Raw genomic sequence first — 10,639 nt, 5'->3', positions numbered from 1 at the left:
GGGGACGGGCAACATCACCCTCCGGTCTAAAACTGGGTTTCCACTTCTCAAATCAGCCGGTCCTGCCCCTGATGGGGCCAACCCGCCACCTGGCCACGGGCTGGCCCAGCCTCTGTGCCTCAGTTCCTCATCCGAGGATGGCAAAGAGGCCGGAGCTCCAGAGGTCACTCAGGCTGGAGTGGGGCCAGGGTGCTCTTGGTGGGGACTCTCTGGCTTTCTCTTTGTCTTTTGGGGGCAGGTGCCCTGGGGCAACAGGCCGCTGTGGATAGGAGAGTCGGCTGGCAGACACCCCACCCGTCCAGAGGGATTCGGCCAGGGCCCCCTTCTGCTCCACCATTGGGGCCTATGGGCCGAAGCCCACCCCAGGGGACAGGGAGTCAGCCTGGCCCATCTCCAGAGGGGGTCTGCACCCAGTCCCCTCAGAGCCTGGCCAGCTGGAGCCCCGAGCAGGAGGTGCTGAGTGGAGGCAGGGCTGGGCCTGCGTGGGTGCCGGCAGCAGGGTTGCCAGGCAACTGCCTCGCGCATCCGGCGTCACCATCTCCGTAGGGCGGAGGAACCCAGGTTCCAATATTTATGTCTTGCCGCTTGCTAAGGCGAGGCGGTGTTAACACTGGATGGCTGGGAGAGGGAGGCGTGGCCCGCCGGCCCTGGAGGAAGGGGTGGCCCTGGGAGCTCCAGGCTCCCACTCCCAGTCCTGCTCCCGGGAGGGGCTGACAGTTCTCCCAGCGGCTGCTGTGGCTTAGAGCTGAGAGGCCAAGCAGCTTCGATGGTGGAACTCCAGGCTCAGGGGGTGGTAGGGGACCTTCCTGCTGGACCCAAAATGACAGCAGGAGCTGCCTGTCCCCTCTGCCTGGGCCACAGTGAGGAGAGGCCGTGCTGGGTGCAGCCCCTCCTGGGCCACTTCGGGCAAGGCCAGGTCTCCATGGGCCGCTGTGCAGAGCAGGGTTGGGGGGTTACCAGGGTTTAGCCCCATCTCCATAGGCCTCAGCTTCCCCAAAAGTGCAGTGGTCATCCTGGGTGGCCTGGCGGTGCTCCGACAGTCCGGGGTGACCACAGCCCAGAGGCCCTGCAGGCCAGAGGATGGGGGCCCCACAGGCTCCCAGAGAGGAACATCAGGGTGTCAGAGGCGGCCCCACCCGGGAGGTCCCCACTGTCCTGGGACACTGTTCCAGGGCTTCCTGTGGTGAGGGCGGTGGGGGCCTCCAGCCAGGCATGGGAGCCCCAGGATGTCAATCCTGCTGGCCAGGGGTCCAGCGTGGTGCACTCCCTGAGGGCCGAGCCCCACACCTGGCCAGGGGAGCTGGAGCGCCCAGCTGGGCCCACTCAGGACCCTGCTGGGTGGGGGGCAGGGTCTTCCGGCACCTTCCGTGGTCCATTTTCTCCTGAACTCAGACCTCCTGCCAATTCAGGCTAGGAGTGGGGTGCTCCCTGCACGTCAGTCCTGCAGATCCCCCGGAAGGGTCAGGGCCTGGGTGGAGGGGAGGCCTCCATGTGGGTGGGGGCTTCTGGGTGTGGCCCCATCCTTCCATGGGACGACCTCGAGGGACCCCAGCCCCCCACGCTGCAGGCAACGCTGAGCCTCAGTCTTCCCTGGCAACAGGGGGCCCAACCCGCTCTAAACAGCTGTGGCCCAGTGGCCGGTGCCCCGACCTGCCCGCCCCGAGGGGAAGCCCCCGGGTCCCCCGGTGGCCTGGGCTTTGGTTGCCCACCTGGGCCGCTACCTGTGCTTCCGAATCCTTGTGCCAACCAGGGCCTCCTGGGCCTGGGGGGGTCCCCTGCTCAGGTACCAGCTGGGGCGGCCAGCAGGGCGGAGGGGCATTGGCACCAAGACCCCTCTACTGTGTTCTCCCGTCCAGCCCAACGGGGGCTCGGCCCAGGCCACACTGGCCCCAGCCTCCCTCTTCTCTCCCCTTGGCCTGGGAGCTTTAGGGAGAGGCAGGAAATGCTGAGGGGCGGAGAGGATTACGGGGTGGGGTGGGCTTGAAAGGTGTCGGTGCATGGTGACCCCTTGGCCCTGGTTTCTACGTCCAGGGATGGGGACCTCTGCACCCTGCCCCTCCACCCGCCGACGCAGGGACAGCTGTGCCTGGAGCCCCCGTGGCCTCCTGTCCTTCCATCCACCAGATGGCCAGGGCTCCTCCCGCCACCACCCTCACCTCCTGCTGTTAAATCTAAACGTCACAGCTTTGGGCCCAGGGTTCACCCACAGAACAGAGCCGAGCCCCTCCCCCAGGCCTGCAGTGCCTGCTCCAGCAACTTAAACTTGAACTCAGCGCTGGCCCAGGAGCCGATCAGAAGAGCTGCCCGGCTTCCCCCAGCCCCACAGTCCAGCCTGACCCACCTTGGACGCTGGGGTCCCGGGGGCAGCGCAGGCAGTCGGGGGAGGCTCCCCTGGCCGGGCAGGGAGGGGTCCCTGGAGGGAAGTCCCAGCTTTGTACAAGGGTCTGTCCTGGGGGCAACAGAGGGGCTTTCCCAGGCGTGCAGTGCCCAGAGGCCTGGCACAGCTCAAAGGGCAGCCCCACAGGGCACCTCCTGCCCCCGCCCTCTGGCACTGCTGGGTTCCCCACTGGGGCCAGGCCTGGGTCAGGCCATCTCTCCCTCCTGGGGTCCTGGAGGCACAGGGCAGCCAGGAATCCGGGCACCCGGGAACCCCAGAAGCCCAAAGCCAAGGCTCCTGCAGAGGGTCCAGGGGCTTCCGAAGACCACAAATGCCAGTCCCCGCCACTCCCAGGAGGAGGGGCTGCCCAGTTGCAGCCGCTGGACCTGCAGGCCGACGAGACCCTCAACTGCACACGGGAGGCCGGAGGTGAAGGCGCGCGGGAGGCCGGAGGTGAAGGCGCACGGGCCTCCTGGATTCCGGGATTTTCCCCTTATCCAACAAACAACCTGTGGGTCAGATTCTATGTACAAAATGCACCTGTAGATCGGCCCCAGGTGCCGGGGGCTGCTCAGAACTTGGGGGGCGGGGTGACTGCAGAGGGAGGGCCCTGAGCCTGCCCCACAGCCTGGGACCTGGGCCCCCATCCCAACTGGCTGACCTGCAACCAGGGACGGGGCTCCCGCAGGCTCAGCCCCCCAGCCCTGTGGCAGCGGGAGCTGAGCCCCCTATCCCCAGGACCCTCCCAGCCTGCTTGGCCTGGCCCCCTCTACTGATGGGGGAGACCCCAGGACCTCAGCCTCTCCAGGGGCCTTCAGAGGACAGGGCCGCGCTGCTGAGGAGTGTGGGAGGGCGCCAGGGGAGGCTGGGTAGGGGCTGTGGGTGGGTATGGAGGTAGGACCAGGGCTGATATGCTTGTTCAGGCCTGGGGGGAGACTGATCAGGCGGGACGGGGCGACAGCAGCCCTGAGGCCTCAGCAGGGAAAGAGCTGTTGCAGGTCATCGAAGGGCTTGGGTGCCAGCTAAGGGGAGGGCACATTTTTCTTATGGGCAGTGGGGAGCCATAGATGGTCCTTGAGTGAAGGGATCAGGAGTTGATTCCTGAAGGAGGCTGCGAGCTCCCAGGGACTGGGCCTGTCCAGGTATGGAGAGGGCAAGCAGGGGGGTCCAGCGGCGTGTGGGGACGAGTCCTCCCCCATCTCAGACCCCGAACAAGAGGGCTGGGACGTCCCCCCACACGCTCTCCCTCCATTCCCCAATGTCCGTGTCACGGAGGCGGCCCTCCCCCAGTCGCCCAGCACCCACCCTGGTGCCTCTCTGGGAATCCTCCCGGGGAACCCCCTGCAGAAACTCCCCTGGTCTCTGGGGTCCCTGCCCCCTGCCCTCCCTCACACCGTACCGCAGAGCTGGGCCCAGGACTTTTGCCACTTGGGGCAGAGAATTTAGGACTTTTCCTTCTGAGCTGAGACACGGCCCTGCCCACCCTGGAACTGTGGGAAACAGCTGGCCAGTGGGCAGGTCACAAGACGCACCTGTGTCTCTAGGTGGGCAGGGAGGAGCACAAGGAGGCCCCTGGCTTTGGGACGTCCTCGCCTCACGCCTGCGCGTGGGGTACATCAGCCCGGCATCAGGACCTCCTCTCATGTCCGTCCAGTCAGAGCAGCCCCACAGAGTACCCTGTTTCTCTCTCTTGAAGATAATCGGGGCCCAAACAATGTCTTGTCTGCCTGAGCGTGTTCACACGTCACCCTCAGGAGCGATTGTTTCAATGTTTGGCTGAAGCAGAGGCTGCGGACGGAGTCCCCTCTCGCTCCAGGCTGCCTCTCATGCATGACTCAGGCCTTTGACATCACCAGGAGAGCTGGGGACAGGCCCAGGGACCCGAGAGGGCTCGGCGAGGGGCTGGCTGGTCACCCAGGCCCCAGCATCCCTGTGCCCCTCACACACAGAGTGCTTTCTCACCAGGGCCTCTAGGCGGGACCCCCGGGGCTGCACGGGAACCTGCCTCAGCTTGGACCTTGGGGTGGCCCCGGCTGCCAGATGAGGACATGCATCCTGCCCAGGGCTGTGGCCCTCAGCCCCCAGCCCCTCGGGGACCCAGGCCCAGCCAAACCCTCCCTGGGCCTCTCTCGACTCCAGCAACTGTGTCCTCCCAGAAATGATTTTCCTGGCCTCTGAGTCTCCGGTGCCGTCCGGGGTATCCAGACGGAGCTGTGGGGATAGGCGGGGGCCCCGAGGGGCGGCCTGGCTGAAGCTGAATGGTCCCTATTGATCCGGGACAATTATGGGATGGTGAGCGCCATTATGTCACTCGCACACCATTAAAGAGTTTAAAAATATCAATTTATCACCGACACCGCAGACCAGAGTTCAGGCAGGACATCGGGCGCTTTGTTAAGAACCCCAGGGCACGGAGAAGTCACCCCCCGGGCCGGGGGATGTGTGAATCTGGCCCTCGGAAAGGCACGCTTGGTCCCCGGGGTGGGGAGGGGCCGACAGACCCTCCCTGGCTTGGGCCCAGCCCCCTGGGCACTCGTGTCCACTCTGGGGCCCGGGAACCCCCGGAGGTGGGCTTGGCCACTACGGGTGCGTGGAGGGGTGTCGCCCCTGAAACGCGCCCTCACCTCCACTCTGCCACTGACTCGACACCTTCCCCGGCCGGGCTCGGGGCTCCGGGGAAAGGGGCTTAGCTTCTAGGCCTCCCTGTTGTGCATGGGAGGGAGTTTCATGGGAAACATTTAGGACAAGATGGAGAATTCCAGCCCACAAGCCGGGAGGCTGAGGTGCAGGTGATGTCGGAACTGAGACCCGGGAGCCGGGGGAGCCGGTTTCCCCTGACAGGACCCCGGGCCTGCGGGACATGTTGAGGGGATGTCGGGGCGAGGGGACCCGCGGGAGACGGGACTGCATGGCAGGCCCCCCAGCTCAAGGAACCCCAGGCAGCCCCGGACACCGGCGGGAGGGAGGCGGCCCTGTGGGAGCCCCGACCCTTGCTTGGCAGTGGGGGTCCGGCTCGGCCCCCACCCCCAGCCTGGCGAGCATTTCTCCGCTGAGATCAGGAGGGCCTCGTCGTCATAGAAACAGGCCACATTCCCAGAGTACACCGTGGCCATTTGTGTCCCTCTCTGGCCAGGGCCTGCGGTGGGTGGGGACCCCTGCGTCCTCAGGTCTATTAACCGGGCAAACAGAGTCAGGCCCCTGGGGGCACCCGGCCCCACCTGTGCGTCTCCCACGGCACGGAAATCAAATCTTGTGGCCCCAGCTCCACCCAACCCGGTCTCCCACGACAGCCTTGTACCGCGCCGGCTGCAGCCCCTGGCCGGACACGCCACACCTGAGCCCCTCTGGGCCCCAGCACCGGAAACAGCCACAAGGCTGGGAACTGGGGGCCCCGGGGCCGGCAGAGGCCGGAAGGATCCTCCCTGGAGCCTCTGGAGGAAGCCGCACCCTGACGATGCCCAGATCGGACTCGGCCTCCAGCGCCTGGGAGGACAGTTTGTTGTTCTAGCCACCAGGTTTGTGGCTTGCGGTCAGGACAGCCCTAGGAAGCTAATCTGTTGCCCTGAGCAATGATTATCGGGGAAATCCTTAGAGCAGGTGGCTGGCAGCTTATGGCAAATGTGAAAAAATGCAAATGCTGTTATCTCAAGGGAACCCACCCGCTTCCGATGAGATGGGCCCGCAGCCCCCGCTGCCATCCTATGACTCCTGCCGGCCCTTGGGGAAGTGGGTGGCGTCAGGGCCTCTGTCCAGGGTCTGGTGGCCTCAGGTGGCCAGGCCTCTCCAGGCCAGGGTGTGCAGGCAGCTCCTCCAGACCTGACGTGCCTCATGCCCACGCCAGGGCTGAGTGGTGGCACTTCTGGGACTCTGGCCGTGATCAAGACGTGCCCTGGAGGAGGGCCCCAGGCCTGCTGCAGCGGGGGGCCCTCAGCCACTCGCCCCAAGCCCTGGAGGACCCTCTGCTTGGTCAGGAGCGAGCTCAGCTGTGCCTTGCGGGGCTGCTCGGTGCACAAGATGGAGCTGGGGGCAGCAGGGGGGCATCGGGGAGCTGGGGCAGCCGTGGAATGCATCAGGAGGGGGTCCTGGGTGGGCCTGAAGATGCCAGAGAGATGGGAGGAGGGAGACAGGATTCTGAGTGGGGATTGGGGGTGTGTGGCTGGTCCCTGGGGGTAGGCTCAGAGCCCAGCCGTGGCCCTACTGGGAAAGAATTTCCTGTCCACCCAGAGTAAGTGCTGTCTGTTAGACCAAGACGCCTGTCCCTTGCCAAGGCGGGGTCCCAGAGTGCCCTTTCCTCTTTTGTGAAGGAAATCAAGATTTATAACAACGTGAAGTGCGTTACCGCCGTGGGAGGGGCCTGCTCCCACCCTGCTGGCCATATCGGCCACATCATCTCAGGCTCATTGTGTGGGCTGCGGGCAAGGGGCGATCCCTCACTAACATCCACACAGAGCCGCGCCGGGGCCTGGAGGGAGGGGCCCGACTCTGGCCTTGCTCGGCCCGCAGGGCCATGGGGAGACCTCACCTTCCCCCGGTGGCTACTGGGGAGGCCATGCCTGCATCTCTCCCCCAGGAAAGAGGGCCCCAATTCCAAGAACCCTCCCTGCACCTCTCGAGGGCCCAAGAGGGCCAACGCCAGCCAGGCACCTGGTCAGCGGCACCCAGAGACACTGTCGAGGGCCCAGCGGTTTCAGAGAATTGGCTGCAATCACTGTCGTTGGTGTCTGTGACGGGTGGGGGTCCCCACCTCAACTCCGTCTTCACACCTGCTCAGGGCTCACAGGCCAAGAGGCTGGGCAGCTGCTCACAGGCTGGTGCTGGAGCCTGTCCGCAGGCCCTGGCCCTGCCCACTGTCTGCCAGCGCCCACTCGCTCTCCTTCCTGGCCTCCTGGGCCCCAGGCCGCGATGGAGCAGAGGCCGCACCTCCAGGACCTGGGCAGAGCTCACCTTCCGCGGAGGCTGCTCCACGCTCAGCAGGCAGGGCTGGCGAAGGTGCCAGGCTGGGCAGAGGGGCCTGGGGACCCTGGGGCCAGGGCTGAGAGCACCCCTCTCGCCTCCTCACTGCCCTTTTGGCCTCCAGAGGGCTCAGGACCCAAGACTGGGCCTCCCTGTGCCTCCCTGGAGGCTCTGCTCCGGGCCCCAGTGTCTGGAAGCCTTCTCGGTCCTTTTCCCCACCCAGCCTGGGGGAGGTGGAGACTCACCAGGACTCGTGCCGGGAGAGGCATCCACGCACAGGGGCTGCGTTCACACCTGAGCCCACGTCAGAGGATCTGACGCAGGGGCCGGCACAGCAGCTGGAGATAGCTGACCCTTACGGATGGGAAACAAGGCCAGGCTGGGATGGGAGTGGAGCCTTCATCTTTCCTCCTCCTCCTCCGGTTAGGTTCCAGGCCCCCCAGCCAGCCACGCCTTCCCAGGCCTCCCCTGGGACCCCAGGAGGTGGGGGCACCGCAGTGACCTGAACTCCTGGCCCCCCCACAGGTGGGCAGGAGCCCGTCTGACCCCTCCTGGTCCCTTCCCGATGGACCCACATGGGCCTGTGGAGCCGGGCACGTGGCCTGGCCAGCTCTGGAGGTCTGGGCACAGGCGGGGGAGCCTGGGGGGGTGCAGGCGGTGGGGGTGGCTGAAGGTGGGCGCAGCCGGGTCTACAGCCTTGGCCGGAGGCCCTCCTGACCCTGTAGCCCCAGCCCCCGGGGTCTCGGGGACACCCTTCCGTACCTTTGCACCTGGCCCCTCTCCCAGCTGGAAGACCCCACCCAGCCCCTGCTTCCCTGTGTGGCCGCGGTGTCCAGCCGTGTCCGGGGCTTCTCCTGCCGGGTCGTCTGAGCGGCCCCGGGCTCCCTTCCTCCCTTGCTCTTGGCCTTGGGAACAATCTGACCTGATTCTCAAAAGGAGTCATCAGACTGTGTTCCGCTTGTGTTTTTATTACCAAGGAATGTACGAGCGAGGGAAATATTGTCGCTGACACCCCCAGCTCTGTCCTGAGCCTCGTGCAGCTGGGACCCCAGGACGCGTCGTCCTCAGGATGTCTGCGGCTGCCGTGCGGATCTGCAGGGGCTGGAGGCTGAGCTTCCTGTGAGACCTTGGCCTCGGTGGTCCAGGGCCAGGTGGCACCGCCTCCCTGTCCTGCGGTGGGGAGTGGGGGTCCGCCCGGGCCCCCAGAAGCCACACTCAGAGGCACGGGGGCTCCTCCCTGGCGTCCCTCCCTGCTTTCCCCTCTGTCCCTCTCCCGTCCGACCAACTCCCTGGCTCAGGCTGGTGAAGACGAGGCCTCGGGAAGTCTGCAGCCTCCAGCAGACCCTGTGACAGGGACGTCCCCAGCATTCAGGGAGGGGAGGGGCTCCCTCCCGGCCCTGGCTCAGAGTCAGGAACACCAGGCACAGGGGGCAGCTGTCCTCCTTGAGGGAACCTTCCAGAAGCATCTGTCCAGGGAAGCAGGGATTGGAGATTGAGTCCGTCTGCAGGGTCAGACAGGGCCTTGGGGGAAGGCGGGGGCGCGGGATGGCTGGGCTCGGCCTGGGATCTCGTCCCCGCCCCTCCCTCCTGGCAGCTCCTGCAGGTGGAGGCTCCGCAGCTGGGGGGGCCCTTCCCCGTACTCCAGCTTCAATTTCGTCTGTGGGGTCGATGGTGACCACATGGAGCTGTGGGAGGCTGGGGGGACCCACCTCGGCAGGGGTGGGGGCAGGGCCTCAGCCATCCTGGGCCTGTGGGGACAGGGTGAGGGGTGATCCAGCACCCAGGCAGGGGAGAGGGGAGGGTGTGGGGCCTCCAGGGCAAGGCCGCCCCTGTGGAAAGGAAGGTGGGGGCGGGGAGGGTCCCCTGGACCACAGATCATGGGCTGGAGGTTGTGGGGGGGCATCCTGGGGGTTGAGGACCCTGAGTTGGGGAGGGTAGGCGGGGGGAGCGAACGGGGGAGGCCGGGGGAGCAGAGGGGGGCGGGGAAGGGGCCAGGCGCGGTGACCTTGCTAACCCCCGCACCCCAGACTGTTTGCTTCCTCGGTAGAGAGGTGGAGACCACAGCACAGCTCTGAACGCCCCATTCCATCAGCTAAGTGGCTCCAGGCCACGTCCTGCTCCCGGGAGGACCTCTGGGGCCTGGGAGCCGTGGCTGATTTTCTCTGCGTCTATTTTCAGGGCTCTTTGGTCTAAGTGCCGGGTGGAGCCCGGCCCCTCCAGGTCCATTTCCAGGCTGGTGCTGGCGGTGGGCATGTGAGGGCCTGGCCAGGCTATCTGCCTGCCGCCCGCAGACCTGGCGTCCCTCCGATGCACTGGAGTTGCCCTCGGGCCTGCTGAGCCCAGGGAGTGCTCCAGTTCTAGGGAGCACACGCTCCTTTCCCACCGTTTCCTCACAACCTCCAGCAGGAAAGGGGGCTGTCCCCGGAGCGGCCTCCCCACCTGGGCACTGCCGGGATTCCGGCTGCTCACCCCCATGGTGGGGCAGTCCTGGGCCCTGTGGCAGGCAGCTAAGCCGCATTCCTGACTTCTACCCATCAGGTACCAGGAGTGCCTCTTCCCCCGCCCCCGCGTCATGACAGCTGAGATCCTCTGCAGACACCCCCACATGTCCCTTGTGGGGGCAGAGTCACCCCAGTTGGCAGTCACTGCTGTAGGGAGTAGGACATGGTGTGGGGGGCTCCCTGGGGCTTGGGAAGCCACCGGAAGGTGATTGAGGGGACCCCGTGTGGGGGTGTGTTTGGGGTGTAGGGACCCCCCTGCCTGGTCACACTGCACATGGACGACAGTTCTTCCATTTTTTTTTTTTTTTTTTTTTTTGAGACAGAGTCTCGCTCTGTGGCCCAGGCTGGAGTGCAGTGGTGCAATCTCGGCTCACTGCAGCCTTGGCCTCCCGGGCTCAAGCCATCCTCCCGCCTCAGCCTCCCGAGTAGCTGGGACCCTGGGCGTGCACCACCACGTCAGGCTAAAGTTTTTAATTTTAGAAATTTTCTGTAGAGACGGGGTCTCCCTATGTTGCCCAGGCAGGTCTCAAAGTCCTGGGCTCAAACTGTCCTCTGGCCTTGGCCTCTCACCCTCTTGCCCAGCCATATGCCTTGTTATAGCCCAGCTCTGGTGGGCGTCAGGCCCCCCAACACCCCAAGAGAAGGACTCCTCATCCCAGGTCCCCCAGGGGCCCCGACCCCACCACCAGCCTGTGGGGGAGTGTGGGTCTCCTCCATGGTTCTGCTGAGCAAGCCTCAGGCGGCCCTAGAACGAGAGGCCGGCAGCAGGAGGACAGAAGCCACAGAGGCTCGGCGCTGCCCACAGCCT

General features: G+C 65.8%; 3 annotated features.

Annotated features, from left to right (window-relative positions):
* Positions 1-616: part of a biological region, named in NCBI's record as "16p subtelomeric meiotic recombination hotspot", that runs on past the window's edge.
* Positions 1-616: part of a meiotic recombination region, noted in NCBI's record as "meiotic double-strand break mapped by DNA meiotic recombinase 1 chromatin immunoprecipitation followed by single-stranded DNA enrichment and sequencing in the germ cells of some male individuals with the PRDM9 A/A, PRDM9 A/B and PRDM9 A/C genotypes", that runs on past the window's edge. NCBI's record gives the evidence for it as "EXISTENCE:chromatin immunoprecipitation-seq evidence [ECO:0000229][PMID:25395542]".
* Positions 8,353-8,921: an enhancer, noted in NCBI's record as "H3K4me1 hESC enhancer chr16:1167285-1167853 (GRCh37/hg19 assembly coordinates)". NCBI's record gives its function as "activates a minimal SCP1, AML or CMV promoter by ChIP-STARR-seq in primed H9 embryonic stem cells {active_cell/tissue: H9 hESC(primed)}" and the evidence as "EXISTENCE:reporter gene assay evidence [ECO:0000049][PMID:30033119]".

Source organism: Homo sapiens, chromosome 16 (assembly GCF_000001405.40).
Source record: "Homo sapiens chromosome 16, GRCh38.p14 Primary Assembly".
NCBI classification, from domain to species: domain Eukaryota; kingdom Metazoa; phylum Chordata; class Mammalia; order Primates; family Hominidae; genus Homo; species Homo sapiens.
Note: the sequence above shows the minus strand (reverse complement) of the source record. Positions and strands in the feature narration are given on the sequence as shown.